General features: G+C 43.7%; 1 pseudogene; it reads right to left on the bottom strand.

The window, feature by feature from the left end:
* On the bottom strand, nucleotides 276–3,320 carry SALL4P3 (spalt like transcription factor 4 pseudogene 3; annotated as a pseudogene).

The following is a 22,317-nucleotide window of genomic DNA, read 5'->3' as shown; positions in this document are numbered from 1 at the left end:
CGGAGTCTCGCTCTGTCACCAGGGTGGAGTGCAGTGGCGTGATCTCGGCTCACTGCAACATCCACCTCTCGGGTTCAAATGATTCTCCTGCCTCAGCCTCCCGAGTAGCTGGTATTACAGGCGCTCGCCACCACGCCCAGCTAATTATTGTATTTTTAATAGAGACAGTGTTTCACCAAGTTGGCCAGGATGGTCTTGATCTCTTGACCTCATGATCTACCTGCCTCAGTCTCCCAAAGTGCTGGGATTACAGGCTTGAGCCACCGCGTCTGGCCAGGATATGAGTTCTTATTAAAAAGAGCAGATTCTAGAGATTTCACTCTGTTTGCATTTCTCCTTCCATGCAAGTTCTCCTTGAGTTTGGCTGACCACAAGCTCATCTTCTTCCAGGAAGTGAGAAAACTGGTATTTGGGAATGCTCCCAGTAGCACCTGCTTTTTCCATATCTGCACTGATACCTAATTGGAAGCCATCCGCGTTGGAGACAGTGGCGTTATTTATATTGAAGCTGACTCCCAAGGAAACCAGGAGGGTAGGAACACCGCCACTCTGGATCACAGAGATCTCATTGGTCTTCTTGGCCAGACCACCATTGAGCATGCTGGTGTCCTGGTTCCACAAAACAGGGCCCATGTTCACTAAAGTGGCCAGAATTTCCCTGGGAAATATTTGAGACTCTTTCCATCTGCACCTAAGAGAGCCATGGTGTTTTCGATAGCCAGCTTCCTACCATGGCGTGCTGAGTCACATAGTGGACCTTCCAGTTGCCTTTGGTGGTAAAAGCTTACCCACAAATGTTGCATGCAAAAGGCTTCTCTCCAGTGTGAGTGTGCTCATGAATCTGAAGAAAGCTAATGGGTAAGAAGTTCTTCCCACACCACGTGCAGCTGTGTTGCTTGGCCTGTTGGCATGGCTAGGCCACTGACAAAGGGGTCATCCCCAGGGACAATGTGGAGGGTTCAACAAATGTGCCAGCGACTTCAACTGTGACATAGATTGACTGAGCTCAGATAAACGTTGAAGGGAGATGGCTCCAACCTTCTATCTTAGTAGAGCTGTTTTCAGAGCTTTCTGCTTTGTCCCCAGCATCAGGAGACTTTGACTGATCCTTTCTGCTTGGCCATTGACCGAGCAGAGTACCTGGAAGGATGTGGCTTCCATGATGTCTGGACTTCAGCTCTGATACTCCTGGTCTCCCATTAGTGAGGACCAGTCGTTGGTCAAAGCTATTGCTCTTCATGGAACTGTTTTCTCTGCTGCTCTAGTGCTGCAGGCCAAAAGGGGCAGGACCCACTTTTCCCAGGGCATCTAAGGAACCCATCTTGGTGAACTCTAGTGTGGATGATGCCTACTACATGCTGGGAAGAGGCACAGGGACCTTTGAGGAGCTACTGGAGGCCTCTGGGAGCTGACTTCATCTACACTGGTGCTTTCAAAAACATCATCATGGCACATGGCACTGGTGCTGCCATTCTCATCCACCGTCATTGGCTCAGGACCCATAAAGTCACAGGAATTCTCTGGCAGGGGAAGGTTGGGAATCTGACTGGCCAGGTCCATCTGAATATGCTGCCACAACATCACAGCACCGGTGAACTTCTTCTGATAGAAAAGGCACAGATGCTGCACCTTTATGGACGTGTTGGGTTGGTGAACCCCAGTGTGTCTTAAGGGTTGCCTTTGGTAGAAAAAGCTCAGCCACAGATCTTACATTGGAATGGTGTCTCTGGAGTATGGATGCAGCAATGCATTTAAAGGGTGCTTTAGCAGCTTAATACTCGGTGGCAAATGAGGCATTTGTTGGGGTCAGTGGTGGTCATGTCGATGTACTCCACCAGCTGCTGCAATTTCAGGGTCTCTGACCCTGGTTCAGGGGTCCCACTTTCTTGGAAGCCACCAACCCTTGGGGAATTATGGTTTGGCCCCATGCCAGGAAGTGTGGGCTACAGGTCACTGGGCAATGGGCCACCTGTGAGGTCCTTGGGGTTAGGCCCCAAACAGCTTTTGAGGTAGTCCAACAGAGGGGATTACAAGAACAGGTTTTCTGTCTAAAGAGAGACTCAGTTCATCTATTGATGTACAAAGAGTGCATAGGGGATGTCACTGCCTACCACCATTTTGTCCTAGAGCTCAGCAAAGAGTGAGGGTTTGCCTTCACCTGGGGATGTTGGTGAATGTGCACCTTGAGGTTGCCCTTGGTGGTGAAGCAGTTATCACAGACAAAGCACACAAAGGGTCTCTCTTCCCATGTGGAAGTGGAGGTGGATCTGCAAGGAGCTATCAGTCTCAAACAACCTTGTTACAGTACTTACACTTGTCCTTGTAGAGGATCACCTCGTCTTTGGGTTTAACATCCACTGAGGAGATGTTCAGTGGCTTCCCCTTCCCTTTCTTGGATGGGTCTAGTGCTACAGTGGAGAAAGGACTTTGGAAGCACACCAATCCCGGGGCCTGAGAAAGCAAAGCACTCAAGAGGTGGGACATTACATTTGGCTCACCCTGGTCCCATCCAGCTTCACAGCAAAGGGCGTCAGCCCTGGGGATGGAGAACTGGTGGTGAAAAGGATGTTGGTGTGAGGTAGTATGGCTTGTTTCAAGGTGTCCAGAGACAGACCTTGGCTTCCAGCCTTTGGGCTGAGCAAAGCCACAGCCGCAGAAGCCTGCTGGAGCAGGTGGCTGCACAAGGCCTTCAGGGTGTTGGCCCCTTCCCCACCTGAGTAGAAGGCGTGTAAGGCTGTAAGGCCCACATGTCCACCTGGATGAGGACCTGCTTGGTGAGCTGAATCTACCGTAGCTGTTGCTGCTGCAGACACAGGATCTACTCAAGGACCCATGGGATGCTGTTGTTACGGGGCACGGAGGCTGGCAATGCATCTAAGCTCCACTGATTCATTGCCACTTTGGTGCCCTGTATTGCCTGCAGGCTCACATAGTGTTGGCCACTTTGCCTTTAAGTAAATAGCTTATCTTCTGGGGTGTGGGTGGCAAGGCCATCTCTGTTTTTGAGTGCACCACACACTCCACACCCAGCTCCTCCTTCATGCTCCCTAGGCTGCCACCATTCTCCCTGTGACCATCCTTACTGCTTGAACTAAGTGGCTGGTGGCTCAGCACAGCTCCGGAGAAGTCTCCTGAAGACACTGACCCCTCGCTGTCATTCATGATGACAACACAACAGGTGGATTTTTAGTGCAATTTTTCTTATGTTCTAAGAACTCACAAATGCTAAAGAACTCCACACAACATTTCTCACATTTGTGTGTTTCCTCCCAATGAAGCCGCTTTATCATCGTGATTCCCTGGGTGGTTCACTGGAGCACCTAAAGTTTGGACGTCTGGCCTCAGAACGGTGAGAGAATAAATTTCTGTTGTTTTAAGCCATCCAGTTTGTGGTTGTTTGTTACAGCAGCCCCAGCTCCCAGGCCACCAGCACCACTGGGCCCGCATCTGCAAATGCTAGGGTCAGCTGCTGTGGCTGCTGCTCACCCTGGTCCTCGTTCAAGTTGATGTGCTGGGGTTTTACCAGCTTGTGCCTCGATGTGGTGTGAGCCTCAGTGTTCCCAGAGAGCCACAGTTATTTGCCCTGTCCCTAATAGTGCTTTTTTGAAGACATAGAAAAACCCATCTTTAAACTCTTATGGACTCTCAAAGGACTCTGAATAACGAAAACAATTTTGAAAAAGAAAAAGGAACAAAATTTGGAGGATGCTCAGTTCCTGATTTCAAAACTTACTACAAAGCTACAGTAATCAAAACAGTTTGGTACTAGAATGAGAACTGACATACAGACCAATGGATAGAAGAGTCCAGAAATAAATCATCATATATATGGTCAGTTAACTTTTAAAAAGATTGCTTAGATTATTCAATGGAAAAATGATGATGCCTTCAACAAATGGTGCTGGGAAAACTGGATATCTACATGTAAAAGAATGAAGGTGGACCCTTATACCAGATCATATACCAAAAGGATATAAAACCTCATAATGAATCAAAGACCTAAATGGAAGAGCTAAAACTATAAAACTCCTAGAAGAAAACATAGGGGAAAATCTTTATGACATTAGATTGGGTAATAGTTTCTTGGATATGATGCCAATAGTGCAGGCAACAAAAGAAAAAAAAATGATAAATTGGAATTCATTAAAAGTAAAAACTTTTGTGCATCAAAGGACATTATCAAGAGAGTGAAAAGAGAACCCATGGGATGGGAGATAATATTAGTAAAACATATATCTGGTAAGGGATTAATATCTGGAATGTGTAAAGACCTCCTGCAACTCAACAACAACAACAAAAGTAGCCCAATTCAAAAACAGGCAAAATACTTGAATAGATAGTTCTCCAAATATATAGAAATGCCCAAGAAGCACATGAAAAGATGTTCAACATCATTAGCTATTAGGCAAAATGCAAATCAAACCCACAATGAGATACCACTTCACATCCATTAGGATGGCTGTTATTTTAAAAAATTGAAACCTGAAAATAACAAGTGTTGGCAAAGATGTGGAGAAATTGGAACCCTTGTGCATTGCTAGTGAGGATGTAAAAGGTGCAGCCACTATAGAACGCAGTATGGCAGTTCCTCAAAAAATTAAACATAGAATTACCACATGATTCAACAATTCCATTTCTGGGTATATACCCAAGAGAATTGAAAGCAGGGACTCAAACATATATTTGCGCACCATTGTTCATAGCAGCAGCATTCACAGTAGCCAAAAGGTGAAAACAGCACAAGTGTCTATTATTAAATGAACAAATACATAAAATATGGTATATACATATAATGGAATATTATTCAGCCCTAAAAAGGAATGAAATTCTGCCACATGCTACAACACCAATGAACTTTGAGAACATTATGCTAACTGAAATAAGCCAGCCTTTAAAAGACAAATACTGTATGATTTCATTTATATGAGGTGTCTAGAATTGCCAAATTCATAGAGACATAAAGTTGTATGGGGGTTACCAGGGGGGTAGGGTCTGGGGAAAGAATGGGGAATTTTTGTTTTATAACTACAGAGCTTCTGTTTGGAATGATCAAAAGTTCTGGATAAGTAGTGGTGATAGGTGCACAAATTATAAATGTGCCTAGTGCCAATGAAAATGACACATACTTAAAAGTGGTTAAAATGGTAACTTTTATGTTATATATATGTTTTATCACAATAAAAGATACACGCTGGTCAATCCTAAGCAGGAGAATGGATAAACAAATTGTAGTATATTCATACAATAAAATACTACTCAGCAATATTTTTTAAAGCTACTTATATGCCCAAAAACATGGCTGAATCTCAAAAACATTATATTTAGCAAGAGAAGCCTTACACAAAGGGATATATACAGATGATTCCACTTATACCAAGTTCTAGAATAGGTTACATTATTCAAAGTGAAAAATATCACAAAGTGGTTGCCTGGAAGGGGGTTGGTTTTGATTGGAAAGGGCCTGGAATTTTCTGAGGTGAAGAAAATGTACTATATTTTGGGTTTCATAGTTGTACATAATTGCCAAAATTCATTTAATTTAACACTGAAGGTTTTATCATATGTAAATTATCTCAGAGATACAGAAAATTTCTATTGGTCAAAATTTCTTTCTAGATGGACAGTACTGACTTGAGTATCCCAATGGTCCTTCTCCTTTCTCTCATCTCCATGGCTGCACAATCTCCTGCCTGTCTCTTTTTGACTGACACTTTCCTTATTTGACTCTGCTAATATATTAAATCAGGTTACATTAACATTTTACAGGCTTGATACATATTCAGTCTTCTTAAGGTGATTTTTCACGTCACCTTCCTGACTCTTTATGAGGTTGTATGACTTCTTCACATAACCTCCCAAAGCCAACCCTACTATAATGATCAAGTTTTTAGCATATACTTCACGATAGCTCCAACGCTAAAATATGACATTACTTTCAGTAGATGAGCCCTAGAACTAAACAAGATGGTCCAATATTTTAGTTTACAGTCAGATAACATGTTTAAGTTGAACTATATGAAATTGCCAATGTTTCCCTTATTTTCAACAGTTACATATGACAATTACATATGCCTCAAACGGTAAAGTTTTGTTTTTGTTTTTGTTTTTGTTTTTGTTTTTTGAGACAGTCTCGTCCTGTCGCCCACGCTGGAGTGCAATGGCATGATCTCAGCTGGCTGCAACCTCTGCCTCCTGGGTTCAAACGATTATCCTGCCTCAGCCTCCAGAGTAGCTGGAGGTGGTGGCACCCGCCACCACACCCAGCTAATTTTTGTATTTTTAGTAGAGACGGGGTTTCACCATGTTGGCCAGGCTAGTCTCGAACTCCTGACCTTGTGACCCTCCTGCCTCGGCCTTCCAAAGTGCTGAGATTACAGGCGTGAACCACTGCGACTGGGCATAAAGTTTTAAAAATTGCATAATCTCACATTTTTCTCAACATCCTTAACAGGTAATCCAACGTAAGATGACTATTTCTTTTAAAATTAGAAAAATTTAATAAATAAGCACAAATGATTAGTTGAATGATTTTAAAAAGAGCTGTCATATAAGTAGTTAGATAATTAAGTTAATTAAATTTAAAGATAATAATTAAATAATTGTTTTAAAAGATTAGTCAAGTATGTAAAAGATATTAACTAAATATTGTTTATATATATATGCTCATGGTGACCCAATATTTTGCTGGAGGTCATCTTGCAACAACAGAGATTAACCTCTGTGTCTCATTCATTGTTACATTCTTAGCACCCAGCAGAGTGCCTGAAATACAGCAGATGCTCAAGAAATATCTGCTAAAATGAAGAAATAAGAAGGACTTTTTGTCAGATGAACGATTACAACCCCAAAACATATATCCCAACATCTTTTGCCTATAAAGGAAGCCCCAAGATAATTTTCATTGCATTTTTCCCATGTTCACATTACAGCCAAATCAACTTTCTTGTTTCTAAGACATACAGTGCCCAAATCAAAGAGAAAAGGTATATCAAAAATCCAAATTTTTCTAAATCATGTCTTCTATGTGACTAGAATAAAAAACAACATAGAGGATTTCAGGTTTGACAATAACAGAAACTTCCAGAAGAGACAGTAGAATGCAACGAGAATATAACTCCTGCCATGGAATATTTAATTTGCTGGAAGCAATATGGCAATCTGTTAGGAGCATGATGCCTATAAATTGGATGGTCCTGTGTTCAAAGGTCAGTTTTTCTCTTTTTTAGACATGACCTTGAGCAAGTTCTTTCACCTCCCTGAGCCCCTATTGCTCATCTGTAAAATGGGGATGATAATTGTTCATTCATTCATTCACCTATTAAATATGTATTGAACACCTACCATACGCCAGGCCTGGAAATGGGCTATGGGACACAACAATGAGCAAAATAGACCAAAAGGCCTGCCCTCATGGAGTTTACAATCCAGAGAGAATGACATGCAAAACATCAAGTAAGTAAAATATACAGTGCGTTTGAAGATGAGCTGAATTTTCAGGAGACTGAAATTCGGCATGAGTTGGTAGGGCAAAAACCAATGGGCTTTGAGTAATTATTGGTAATGGGATGAATTACTTGTACCAATGAGCAGCTTAGAGCAATCACTTAAATAGATTTAAGAGAATCATCACTAGCTAGATAGGCACATGCTTGAATAGATTAGTGATAGACAAACAGAGCAACAGATGGATGAATTAGAGAGTCAAGCAGACAGACCTAAGTAGATTGACACAAATGGTATCTCAAGGTGCCCTGACAACAGCATCTGCTGCTAGAATGACTGACTTTTGATCTTGCACATCTGGCTAGCAAGATAGGCATTAGTGTCTCCCTCACTGGACTACAGGCATCCTTGCAAAATCCTCTCCATCTTTGAAGGTGAGTTGGAAGACCTGGTCTTCCCTTAGGAGAGGACCTATGTAAATCTGTGCCAGGCCTCTTCTCCAAATCTTCCAAAAAATCAATAGGCTCTTTCAAGCAGAGGGTAGAGATGATGCCAAGGGAAAGTCTCTGTAGCAGGAGAAGCGAACAGTCCCAAGAGATAGAAACTAGACACCAGAGAGATGAAGAGAGAATGTATTCAACAAGGAGATGGATGTCAGAAGGTGTCAAGTTTTATTTCAGTAAGACCAGTGGCCCGTCCTTCATCATTTCTCATTTCAGATAATTCAGTGTGGATTGAGTACTGAAAGCTATTGGAGAATTATCGTTGGTCTTCTGGGTGTGATAATGGCAATGCAGCACTGTAGAGAGAGAGAGAAAGAAAAAAAAAAAAGTCTTTCTCCTTTATGTCTGCAGTAGAATAATATGATGTCTGGGATTTACTTTGGCAAACTCCAGCCAGAAAAATAAAAGAAAGAAAGTCGGGGGTTTTGATGAAACAAGCTTGGCAACATTTTTATGATTGTTGGAGTTGTGTTGGGTGCACAAGAGTTCATTAGATACTTCTCTCCACTACTGAGTGTGCTGGAAAATTTTCATAGTAAAAAGTTATGATTTTCCCATTTATTTTCAGAAGGGAAAAAATACACATAAGCACACATATATACACTTGGAGCATTTTTCCAGCTTTAGGGATTAATTCTTTTTGGCAGACGAAAGTCATTCTGTTAAATGATTTATGATATTTAAAGAGCAATTTGGTTCCATTTAATTGCTACCTTAAATTAACTGTTGCCTGAGCCTAGAGAAATGATTGCTACGGCCAGAGTGGAGGAAGAGGTGACAGTGAGCTTCAAGTGGTATTGAGTGATTTCAAGTGTGACCAGCGACTTAGATGAAAGGATGCAGAGTTCCCACGTAAAGGGCAATGCTCTCTAAAAATCACTGCTCTCAACAATCTTCCACCATCTGAGAAGGTTATTTGAATTCCTTCCCAACTGTTCCCAAACAGAGCATTTTGTAATGCAGAGGAATTTTAAAATAATTGAACCCAGACTTATAAATGCCTTCAACATCCAGTCACTACATATTTGTTCAGTATCTACTCTATCACTGGCACTGTGCCAGGCCTAAGGGCTATATGGTAGTAGACAACCTAGAGAAGAGCATTGCTTTTTTTTTTTTTTGAGGTGGAGTCTCACTCTGTCACCCAGGCTGGAGTGCAGTTGCGCAATCTTGGCTCACTGCAAGCTCTGCCCCCCTCAGGTTCAAGTGATTCTCCTGCCTCAGCCTCCCAAGTAGCTGGGATTACAGGCATCTGTCACCACACCCGGCTAATTTTTGTATTTTTAGTAGAGACAGGGTTTCACCATCTTAGCCAGGCTGGTCTTGAACTCCTGACCACGTGATCCACCCGCCTCAGCCTCCCAAAAGTGCTGAGATTACAGGCATGAGCCACCGTGCCTGGCTGAGGATTACTTTCATGAGACTTACGGTCTAGCTGGAAACACAGGCATCCTCAACATATAAGCACATATTAAAGCAATTAACAACCTTCTGATAAGTGGGATTTTTTTTTTTTTTTTTTGCTCTTGTTGCCCAGGCTGGAGTGTGATGGCGTGATCTTCGCTCACTGCACCCTCCACCTCCCAGGTTCAAGTGATTCTCCTGTCTCAGCCTCCTGAGTAGCTGGGTTTACAGGCATGCGCCACCACGCCTGGCTAATTTTGTATTTTTAGCAGAGATGGGGTTTCACCATGTTGGTCAGGCTGGTCTCGAACTCCTGACCTCAGGTGATCCACCTGCCTCAGCCTCCCAGAGTGCTGGGATTACAGGCATGAGCCTGTAGGAACTTTTATAGACCACAGTAAGGATGTGCTGGACATTGGTATAAATGTTCCACAAGTAGTCACTCATTTAATCCTTCCAACAACTCATACGCCTTCTACAGGTAAAGAAACTGAGGCACAGAGAGGATAAGTAACTTGTTCAAGATTATCAGTTATTAACCAGTGGAGCCATGATTAGAACCCCAGATTTGCTGCAGAGCCTCACCTCCTAACCACTCTGCTGTCCAGCCTCTCAAATCAAGGCCACTATTACATATTTTTGGAGTATCTACCATATGCCAAGCTCTATTCTCAGCCCTGGGATAAAGCAGATAATAAAGTCCCTGCTCTCATGGAGCTTTTTGGGGGAGAGGGACAATTAGAAACATCTAAATATATAATATGCCAGAAGGCTATAAGTGTCATGTAGGACAATAATCAATGGAAAAAATAGAAAATGACAGAGGGTCTCAGATGGCAACAGCATGAAGTTCTTGTAAGTTCAAGGACTCTCCAAGAAGGCACTGAGATTGGAGGAGTGAGGTGGGCATGTTAGGAAGTGATGTCAGAAATCAGATGATGCACATACAGCCTTGAAGTTCAATTTAGGAACTTCAGATTCCACTGTGAATAGATCAGGAACCCTCAGGGTCATGAGCTGAGGAGATAGGATACACCTCTTTTTCTTTTCTTTTTTTTTAGACAGAGTCTTGCTCTGTCACCCAGACTGGAGTGCAGCAGCATGATCTCAGTCCACTGCAACTTCTGCCTCCTGGGTTCAAGCGGTTTTTGTGTCTCAGCCTTCCAAATAACTGGGATTACAGGCATGTGCAACCATGCCAGGCTAATTTTTGTATTTTTAGTAGAGACAGGGTTTCACCATGTCGGTCACGCTGGTCTCGAATTCCTGTCCTCAAACGATCCTCCCACCTGGGCCTCCCAAAGTGCTCGGATTACAGGCATGAGCTACCACGCCTGGCCAGGATACACCATTTTTTAAAAGGCTCACACTGCCTTTAGGGAGTGAGGGTAGAAGCAGGCAGACCCTTTAGGAGGCTGTTGCAACAATCCAGGGATTCACGATGGTGCAGCTGTGAGAGAAAGAGAGCCCCAAGGTGTTTGGCCTGAGCATCAGCCAAGAGGGAGCTGCCTTTAACTGCAATGAAGAAGACTGCAGGAGGGCAGAGTCTCACCTGGTAGGGTAGAGGAAAGAAAATGAACAGGTCCCTTCACTCATCGGAGGCACATAAATCGAGTGGAGTCCTATGTCAAGGTTGGAAATCAGGCTAGATGAAGAACAAGGTCAGAGAGGATAAGCAGGGGTGGTCTATGGAAATCCTGGAGCCAAAATGCCCATGCCTGCAGGGGATCCTTGTGCCTGGGGTCATCTAAAGAGACCAGGGTCCTGGTGGGCTTTGAATTCAGCATTGAAAGATGGGGAAGACACAAGGATGCAGGGGAGATAATGTCCTGTCAACCATGCAAGCAAAGGTTCAGAGGGAGGCACAAGCTTGACATGTGGCTTGGACTGTCAGTGTCCTCAACGACCACTGGACAAGGTATCCAGGGCTCCGTTTTCCGCACTGCCCAGAGCATAGGCACAGGGGTGGTCAGAGCAGAGTGTGTCTGCCGAGTATCCCAGGCAGACACATTAAGCCGGATGGAGAAAAACAGATGGTGCAGCAACAAAAACAAGCCACCTCCTTCATGGCTCAGCTGTTTGAGTTGTAAAATTATTGACGGAGGCTGGGCAAGTGGAGTCCGTGGAGGAAAAATTCGGTCTGGTGATGTCTCAAAAACTCACTTAGACAAGGTGGTTCTCAGAAGAGAAATTAGACAGTCCCCTTCCCCATGGGCTTCCCACATTACTCAGCCCAGCCGCCCAAACTGTTGCCCCAGGCTATAGTACAGGCTGTGGAGGAGCAAGGGAGAGGCAGTGGAAACCAACAGTTAGGGAATTTGCTCTGCAGCCTGCTGAGTTTGAGAAGCTGCTCTCCCACCTACTAACTATGTGACTGTGGGCAAGCTCCTGGGCTGCTCTGTGCCTCATGACCTATAGTGATGATCATAGTGGCTCCTCATAGGGCGATTGTGAAATGAAGTGAGTTAATTGCTCTAAAGCATGGAGACAGTGTTTGGTATGCACTCAGTACTAATAAAAATTAACTGTAATTATTATTATCTAACTCTACATCGACAGAGCTGAGTGTACAGCTCACCACATGTTGGGAGTTCAATAAAGGGCTGCTTAATATAATTTGATGTCATCATGATCATTATCATAGTTATTGAGCTCTCACAGTGGCCAGCTCTTTGCAAAGCCATTTAGACACTTGAGTGTCTTACATTGGGATATAGGAAAAACTCAAAAATCTAAGGACATATGTCAGGCACCAATTTTGCTCAGAAACTCAGGGATCACTTTTAGAAGCAGACTTCGGTCTTGCAGATAGATATGACAAAACAAAGGAGAAAGGAAAAATGAACAAGGAGAAAAGGTTTTCCTGAGGACAAGAGCTGAGATCTTAGATGTTTCAGGGAACTAGATATGCCCATACGATTGCCCATATTCTGTGTGTGTGTGTGTGCGTGTGTGTGTGTGTGTGTTTAATTGGAGCTAGGCATTAGTTACTTAGTCAATGAGTTACTTAGTTTTAACTTGGGACAGATGGCCCTTCCCTTCTCCCTCCTTCCTCCCCTTCCATACCTTCTTTCCTTCTTCCCAAGAAGAAAAGCTCAGGGGTTCACGAACTATGACATATGGATCAGGCCAATATATGGACAAACCAGTACAACAAAAGCCAATTCCCTAAAAAGCCTGTTTGCTAAGAATGCCATTCAGCAATTGACTTTCCTTGAATTGACCTAAGTTCCTGGGATATCACTGAAGATGGAAAGACAGAGACAAGAGCAGGAAATGGGGCTCTTGGAGAGCACACCACACTGAGCCCTGCTTGGAGAGCTGCCCATCCTAGGGCACCTGTTCCCAAAGGGAGGTGGAAGATTTGTCCTCAACAGAATCCATACTCAATTCAGCTTTAAGCGACCAGAAGCACTGGGCTCATAGGGGAAATGGACAATGGAGGCTGTAAGCACTTAGGAAGGACTCTCACAGAAAGAAGAATGCCTCGAGCAAGACCTGGAGACTGGATGCCTCCTCAGAAAACATCCAGATGAAGGAGGAAGACCAGCATGAATTTCTTTTTCTTTTTCTTTTTCTTTTTGAGAAGGAGTCTCACTCCGTCGCTCAGGCTGGAGTGCAGTGGCGCAATCTCAACTCACTGCAACCTCTGCCTCCCGAGTTCAAACCATTCTCCTGCTTCAGCCTCCTGAGTAGCTGGGATTACAGGCATGCGCCACTATGCCCGGCTAATTTTTGTATTTTTAGTAGAGACAGGGTTTCGCTATGTTGGCCAAGCTGGTCTTGAACTCCTGACCTTAAATGATCTGCCCACCTCGGCCTCCCAAAGTGCTGGGATTAAAGGCATGAGCCACCGCGCCCGGCCCAGCATGAATTTCTTAGAGCAAATTCCACTTTGTGACAGAGGAGGCAGGCTGCAATAATAAAGGTGGAGGCCGGGCACAGTGAGCTTAAGCTCAGAGTTCTTCAGAGGCCTCAGAAATAACACCACACATCTACAACCATCTGATCTTTGACAAACCTGACAAAAACGAGAAATGGGGAAAGGATTCCCTATTTAATAAATGGTGCTGGGAACTGGCTAGCTATATGTAGAAAGCTGAAACTGCATCCCTTCCTTACACCTTATACAAAAATTAATTCTAGATGGATTAAAGACTTAAATGTTAGACCTAAAACCATAAAAACCCTAGAAGAAAACCTAGGCAATACCATTCAGGACATAGGCATGGGCAAGGACTTCATGTCTAAAACACCAAAAGCAATGGCAACAAAAGCCAAAATTGACAAATGGGATCTAATTAAACTAAAGAGCTTCTGCACAGCAAAAGAAACTACCATCAGAGTGAACAGGCAACCTATAGAATGGGGGAAAATTTTTGCAATCTACCCATCTCACAAAGGGCTAATATCCAGAATCTACAAAGAACTTAAACAAATTTACAATAAAAAAATCAAACAACCCCATCAAACAGTGGGTGAAGGATATGAACAGACACTTTGCAAAAGAAGACATTTATGCAGCCGACAGACACATGAAAAAATGCTCATCATCACTGGCCATCAGAGAAATGCAAATCAAAACCACAGTGAGATACCATCTCACACCAGTTAGAATGGCAATCATTAAAAAGTCAGGAAACAACAGGTGCTGGAGAGGATGTGGAGAAATAGGAACACTTTTACACTGTTGGTGGGAGTGTAAACTAGTTCAACCATTGTGGAAGATAGTGTGGCGATTTCTCAAGGATCTAGAACTAGAAATACCATTTGACCCAGCGATCCCATTACTGGGTATATACCCAAAGGATTATAAATCATGCTACTATAAAGACACATGCACATGTATGTTTATTGCAGCACTATTCACAATAGCAAAGACTTGGAACCAACCCAAATGTCCATCAGTGATAGACTGGATTAAGAAAATGTGGCACATATACACCGTGGAATACTATGCAGCCATAAAAAGGATGAGTTCCTGTCCTTTGTAGGGACATGTATGAAGCTGGAAACCATCATTCTGAGCAAACTATCGCAAGGACAGAAAACCAAACACCACATGTTCTCACTCATAGGTGGGAATTGAACAATGAGAACACTTGGACACAGGGTGGGGAACATCACACACTGGGGCCTGTCATGGGGTGGGGGGATGGGGGAGGGATAGCATTAAGAGAAATACCTAATGTAAATGACGAGTTAATGGGTGCAGCAAACCAACATGGCACATGTATACCTATGTAACGAAACTGCACATTGTGCACATGTACCCTAGAACTTAAAGTATAATAATAAAAAAAAAAAAGTTCAGAGTTCTTAAATTCCACACAACCTGCACAAAGTGATTAGCATCCTGGTGAGGCATAAAGTAGGGAGATTGTCTTTTTTTTCCTCTCCTATTTTCTATGTCTCCACCTTCCCCAGATAATATTAAGTCTGTTTGTTGATTCTCCCAACCCCACACAGAGACACGTAGCTTAATGGTTAGCAATGTGGACTTGGGGAACAACCCACCACGTGACCTTGGGCAAATCACTTCCACTTACCTGTGCCTCAGTTTCCTCATCTGCAAAATGGAAATGAAGGTAATAAGAGTACCAGCTTTATAAGGTAGTTATAAGGGTTAAATAAATTAATACAGTAAAGTTCTTAGAATAGTCCTTGGCTCATTGTAAGTGATCAATGCATCATAGCAATTGTTACTATTAGTACTGCTACTGCTACTCCTACTAATACTATTATTCACTCAGTTGAATGAAAATACTTAGACTAAGGCAAAACATAGTAAAAACTTGGAAAGAGAAGAATTTCAGCCTTTAACTTCTTTGAACTCTAATTTATAAGAAGTCAACCAGAGAGGGGTTATATGGTTTCCATTTAGGACACGGTGTATGATCACCAGAAAGCTATGTTGGATGACGTCTTTGGATATAATGCAAGATGGGCATTGAAATACAGTAATTTTCACCCGCTGGAGTGCAGAGAGCCTTCACTTAATGAATGAGTTGTCATGATCCATTTCAGAGAATTCTGGTGGGGAAGATCTGAACCATCCATCCTACTGGTTCCAGGAAAACACCCAAGGATGTGCTAGGAGAGACTTCTTCCAAAAGAAGAAGCAGAAATGCCTAGTTATGCTTCTGCTCTTCCCCCAGGGAGAAGAGCCACAATCCACCTGACCCTTGGCTTAGACATTTAACCCAGTTGATGGAGAGGAGAAAACCTAGATGACGTTTCAAGGGATGGTGTGTTTTTCCCCCTCTGTGCACATTTCTGGCCTCTTCCTCAAGAGAAGAGAGAATTTCTGCCCTTCTGTATCTTCATCATCACTGTGCCACCCAATCCTAGAGGGGGAGAAATTGATCATCTAACATTCACTGGGCCCAGCTTTACTGAAGGTTACTATATTGAAAGGCAAACTTGCTTCCTTCTGCCATGTGTGATAGGCTCCACAAGACTGGCCCTCGCAGTGCCTTCCTTCCACTTTCCCCCACTCCCTCTGGAATGGGTATAAAGGGTCTTAATTCTCAGGGAAGGTGGAAAGAAGCACGGACATCTCTTATTCCTTTTTTCATTTCCCTTTGTCCCAGTGGCAGCAGGCAAAAGTAAAAGCCAGCCTCCAAGCTTGTCTTAGCTCTGCCTGAACCCATGTGCCAGACCTCCCCACAATTCCCACCCAGGAGCACGGCATGACCTATTCCTCTCCACCTCCCTCGCTCCCTCCCAGGTGTTCTTGTGTCCTTGTCCATTGCATGTATGAAATCCTTTGTGCATATACGAAAGCAGAGGTCAGGATCCAGACTCTCAGATTCCTTTGCATCTAACTGTATACACCTGCCCAAACAACAGCAGGCTATGACTCCCATTTTGCAGATGAGAAAACAGAGGCCCAGAGAGAATTAAAGGAGCTATGCTATAGAAAGTACTATAGAAAGTAGGTGGCACAGCCCGGATTCTATGACTGGCCTTCATGTTCTAAATCATCTTCCCAGTTCACCCACTGCTTCTTATCCACATTCGTTACTCACTCTTTTAATACCTGAATCACTCCACAAAAAATTGTGTGTGTGTGTATATATATATATAAATATGTATTAAATACATATATGCATATGTGTATAGTAAAATAAGATATGCAATATGCAAAAGAAAATATACAACATGCATACAATATAAAATAAAATTATATAATTCCCCCATCCAATGTCTAGTTGCTTGGAGGAATATGTGAAAATCAAATCATGTTATCTACCACTTAGACTTATTGGACTCAGAGCCGCTTCCCTCCTTCCTAATTCACAGTAGACTCTCAAAACACCAGCTCTGCATTCTCTCTCCTTCCTCAGTCTGGCAGTCAGGCTCTGAGCTATGTTCTCATTAGAGCAGAATTTCCCCCTCCACACAGCACAGTCTCTGGACGAAGGCTCTGTGGAGTTGAGGATAATAGACTGTGCCGGCAGTTCCAATCAGGTAGGCATGACAAAAAGACGCGTGCAACACCCAGGGTGTGGACAGAAGGCAACAGAGTTGGATGCAGACCCGACTGACACAGATGGTAACTGTGGTTTGCACTAGACCGGGCAGCTGGAGCTCGCTCCTCCTGCCTAGCTTTCAAGCAGGGGTCTGGGAGGAGGTGGGTGTTGAGTGGGTGTTCAGGAATGAGTGAAGTGATGCCGCCTGGACCACCAGGTGCTCTGGGGTCGAAATCTTCTCAATTAATGACTTAATGCTTGTAACACAGGTTCAGCACATGTGCCCCAGTGCCTGATGAGAGAGCAGGGCAGCGCTCTTTTGCCATTAATCCTGGAAAGGATTTTCTAATCTTCTCGTCATGGTGGCAAGAGCTTGTGGGAGCCAGAGCTAGAGGCAGTTCCAGTAGAGGAAAAAAAACACCAGCTTTGGACTTGGAAACCTGGACTCTGATTCCAGTTTTGTTTATATACAGATGGGGAGAAACACACCATCCCTTGAGCTGCAGGACCTGGGACAAATCACCTCATTTTCCCGGAGCACAGATTTCCCATCCTGACCTGCATATAAATTATGTCAGTCTACCAATAATATAAATATACTATCTATATACGTACGCATATGTAAAAGCACAAACTCCTAACCTGGGCAAGGGTCTGCATGTTCCAGTCCCTGCCCATCTTTCACCCTCTGTTCCCATCATCCTCCACCCTAAGTCCAGTTGGCTCCAGCCTCGCATCCTCTTGCATCTCTCAAAGGACCAAGCTCACTCCCACCTCCACTCTCTTTACACCTTTTCTTCCTTCTGCCTGCAATACTTTCCCACCCTCTTTCTCTGACCAACTCCATGTCTCACCTTAAATAGCACTTCTCCCAAGAACCTATCTGGACTGCCTCTTGCTCCTGACAGGGCCTCAATTGAGCAACCTGAAGGCCACAGAGCCTGGTGGTTGGAACACTGGAACTGCAGTTGGCACACCTGGGTTCAAATCTGAACCTGACAGTCACTGACTCATGTGACCTTGGGAAAAGTCTTGTCTGAGACCCTATCTCCTAGTCTGTAAAACAGGACTCATATTAGGTTTACATCAGAGGACTGACATGAGGATTAAATGAAATTAACTATGGAAGATACACAGACGCTGGATAAGAGATGCCTGTTTCCCCTCTACAACCCTCGGAATCATTAATATGTTAGAAAATATTCATCCTATTATATGTTCCACATCTATCTCCCCTGCCAGATTTTGGACTCAAAGAGAGAAGGAACCATCTCTGCATGTTTCATCCCTGTCTCCAAGTCCCCACCAGACAAGATACGCAATGAATTGTGTGGCTTCAGCGAATGACTAAAATGAAGACATTAGCACCTGTCTCCAGGATCTCCTGCGGAAGTAAAGGAGATTGTGTGCAGTTGAGTGCATTACAGGCCATTAAATGCCGCGAGAACAGGAAAGATGGTTATTGCATCGTTTGTGAGGTGCAGAAGGCCTGACAGGCCAGTGGGTGGGGCAGAAGGAAGGGCATTCATGGCAGGGAAGAGAAAGAGAATTCGATTATGGGAAGGGCTGGAGAAGTTGTGGGGAGGAACAGTTAGAGGGTGGCCTGAGGGAATGAAAGATAGTGCTGAAGAGAATGACACCACTGCTTTTACATAAAATATCCAGGCCCTGAGCATGGGCTAAGGGTCAGTCCACCTGTGCCAACCCTAAGATTGAGACGTTTATGCTCGTTTTCCTCCTGAGGACTGACTTTCCCCAGAAGGCTTTTATTTATGCATTCATTCATGCGATATTTATTGATTTCCTACTAAACGCACTTTACTGAGCACTTACTAAGTTCACTTTGAGGTGCAGGGGATATAGCAATGAATAAACCAGACCAAGTTCCTGCTCTTATGAAACTTATATCCTAGTGGAGATAAGGAAATAAGTAAATTAGCCACTACAGGTATAAGTGTCATGAAGGAAAATAAAGTTACAGAGGGGATGGGAATGGTGCAGGTCAGGACTATCTTACAGAAGAGACTCAAGAAGGCTTCTCTGATAAGATCCATTTCAGCAGCAACCTGAAGGGAGCAGATGTAGGAGCCATAAGGAAATCTGAGGGAACAGCATTCTAAGCAGAGGGAACCGCAGGTATAAAGGCCCTCAGCTGGAAGTGAAGCCATCCTTACAGAGTTAATGAGAATTCCGGACAGAAATATAGCTGTAATTAAGCATTAATCAGGCTGCACTTTGGCTCACTTCCTTGTAATGGAAAGTAATCCATAACACTCGATGCTGACCACTTACATCCTCTTTGTTCCTATAGATAGAATCTCTGATGTTAGAATGATAAAGTTTTCATTTACAAATTGCTTAAGCAGATCCTGGATTCCAGTGGAACACCTGATGCTGACCAGTTTAAAGACCCCCACAGAGGAACTGAGCCAGCATGAGGATGAAGTTTCTTCATCTCCCTGTGCCCTGGCTTCATCCTAACACTCTTTGACGGAGCAACAATCTCCATGCTTTGGCCCACTCCAAAACCCTTAAAACCCTAACCCCAAGTTCCTTGGGAGATGGATTTGAGGTTTCCTCTGTCTCCTATTTCAGCAGCCCTATGATTAAGCCTCTTTCTCTGCTGCAACCACTGGGCCATGGACCTATTGCTATTACAAGAGTGTGCTTGGTGGATTCAAGGAACAGCACCATGGTGGTTTTGGCTGGAGTGCAGTGAGCAAGGGGGAAGTAAAAAGAGATGAGATCAGAAAGCAGCCAGGCTCCTGATCAGGTGGCCTTTATTGGCCAAGATGAGGGCTAATGAAAAGAATACCATTACATGTCTTAGTCTTTAATAGATCACTAGCTGCCTGTGAAAAAACAGAGTGTAGAGGGCAAGGGTGGAAGAGGGAGACCACTGCGGGGAGGAGGTTGCTGCTGTCCAGGTGGGCAATGATGGTGGCTGGGACCAGGAAGCAATGGAGGAGATGGGTAGTCTCTGCAATGAGGCTTTTCTCTGTCTATAGGGGAATTGGATTTGCATTAGAAATCATAATCAGAACTAGTCTGGGCGCAGTGTAAACTCAGCACTCTGGGAGGCTGAAGTGGGAGGATCGCTTGAGGTCAGGAGTTCTAGACCCTGGAACCCCATCTCTACAAAAATACAAAAATTAGCTGGGCATGGTGGAGCACGCCTATAATCCCAGCTGCTTGGGAGGCTGAGGCACAAGAATTTGCTTGAACCCAGGAAGTGGAGGTTACAGTGAGCTGAAATTACACCACTTTACTCCAGCCTGGGCAACAGAGCAAGACTCCATCTCAAAAAAAAAAAAAAAAAAAAAAAAAACAAGAAATCAAAATCAGAACTAAAGGAGACCTTGACCCTCAGCTGGTCCAAGGACCCTCATCTGACCAATGAGATTTCTCCAAGGTCACATGGTCAGAGACTGGACAGAGCTTGGGCCTGAATCCCCTTCCCAGTTCAAAGCCCTTCCACCTGGTGGCTTCTTTTTGGTCATTGTGACTGTCCCTTCCATCTCTGTGGCTTTGTACAAACAGATCCACAAAGAGCTACTGCACTTTAGAGGTTGAGGGTATAATTAAGAACAACTTGCTTTTCATTTATAATTTATGCGTTATACACCACCTACTTCCCAAAAGGATTTGAGACAGCTTACAACAACAATCGTCTTTAAACCATCTGCACAGCCACCAAAAAACATGTTTTCAGAGAATCCTTAATGGCACAAGGAAATGTACAAAACATAACTTTTAATGAAAATGACAGGACACAATACTCTATTTACTATAATACTGTTACATATTATGAGGATGGATAAGGAGAGGGAAGAGAGGGAGAGTGAGAAGGGGGAAGAGAGAATGGGAAGGGAAGGGAAAGAAGGGGAGAGGGAAGGGAGGGGAGGGGAGGAGACACCAATAGTGGTTATTTCCTTTGTTAAAATTGTATGGTGAGACCTCATTGCTCACAGCATAGGTCCCCAAAATATTGTAAATAAAATTATTTTCAACAGCACTCTAACATCTTTTTTAATATTAATAGTTATGCATTTGTATATTAAACGTGAATTTTAAAAAATATGGCTAACACATCAAATCCACGTGTGCTGGTTAGATTTCATTGCCCTTCCAGATCCATTCTTCATCCTTTTCTGCCCTGCTCTGTACAGAGGAGACTTCTTTGCCCTCTGGCTTGGTTTGGGCCAATAGGAATTCCAGTAAAAAATATATATATATCAGAGGGCAGAGGAGGGAGGTGTGAGGATATTAGTTACCTCTTTCCCCCAACCCTTCCTCCACTGCCCCAGCTCTAGAATGGCTGTGCCCCTTGGCTGCCCACGAGCCTCTATTTCAGGGCTCCAGTTCTCCTTGGGGTCCATGAATACTGTTCCCCTCTGCTAATTCCTGTTTCACTGTCCGTTGCTGTCTTCCTTAGCCCTGCCCTCACCTATATAATAGTCCCTTTATTCGACTCTTTTTTTCTTTAGTATTTCTTAAAGTGCATAAGAATCACCAGGAAGTGGAGCTGATTAAAACACAGATTCCTGCCCCATTCCCGGAGATTCTGCTTCAGTAAGTCTGGGCAGGGCCTGAGAAGTTTTATTTCTAAGGAGCGCTCAGATGATGCTTATGTTGTTAGTCCAGAGACTATACTTTGAGTAGCAATGCTTGAGTGAAACCCTTTGGGTGTGTCATCTGCTTTCTGGAAGTTCCATGACTAATTCTCGATGAGGCAGTCCAGTGGCAGTTTCTGCAGTGGTGAAAATGCTCTATAAAATTCTATACTTTCCAACAGAGGAGCCACGGGTGTCTCCTGAGCACTTGAAACGTGGCTAGTGCAATTAAGGTACTGGGTTTTTAATTATATTGAATTTTAATTAACAAAAATAATTAGCTCTGAGCTACTAAGGGTCAGTTGGCACTTTCAACAGTCTAACTGGAAATCTCCTTAACCATTGACAGGTTCATTAGGCACCATTTTTATCTTCATGTTACTGCAGGGGACAGTTTTGTTAATTGTTCTGGCAGTTCATCATTCAAGTTTCATTTTCTCCTGTCTCCAACAGCAATTTTCTCATTGACCTTCCAGCCTCCATTAACAGCCTTCTTGAGGCATTTCAGGTCTTTATCCACTGCCCAGTTCCAAGGCGACTGACACATGATATGGCAGCATTCTACTTTTAGATACCAACTTCCCTTTTAACTATTTATTGCTGCATAGCAAGCCACCCACGACTTAATGCCTTGAAACAACAGCCATGTTATTATCACTGAGTCTTTGGGTTGACTGGGTTCAGCTTGGTGACTCTTCTGCTCTATGTGATGTTGCCTGGGGATACAGTGATCAGGGGGCTCAACTGGGATGAAACATTCAAGATGGATTACTCACCTGACTGGCAGTCAGGGTTGGCTGGATGCTGAGATGGGGCTACCACCCAGAGTGCCTCAATTCTTACTCATGTGTCTGCTCTACATAGTTTAAGCTTCCCACA

This window comes from Homo sapiens, chromosome 16, assembly GCF_000001405.40.
Source record: "Homo sapiens chromosome 16, GRCh38.p14 Primary Assembly".
Classification (NCBI taxonomy): Eukaryota; Metazoa; Chordata; class Mammalia; order Primates; family Hominidae; genus Homo; species Homo sapiens.
The sequence above is the reverse complement of the archived record's forward strand: the minus strand, read 5'-3'. Positions and strand labels throughout refer to the sequence as shown.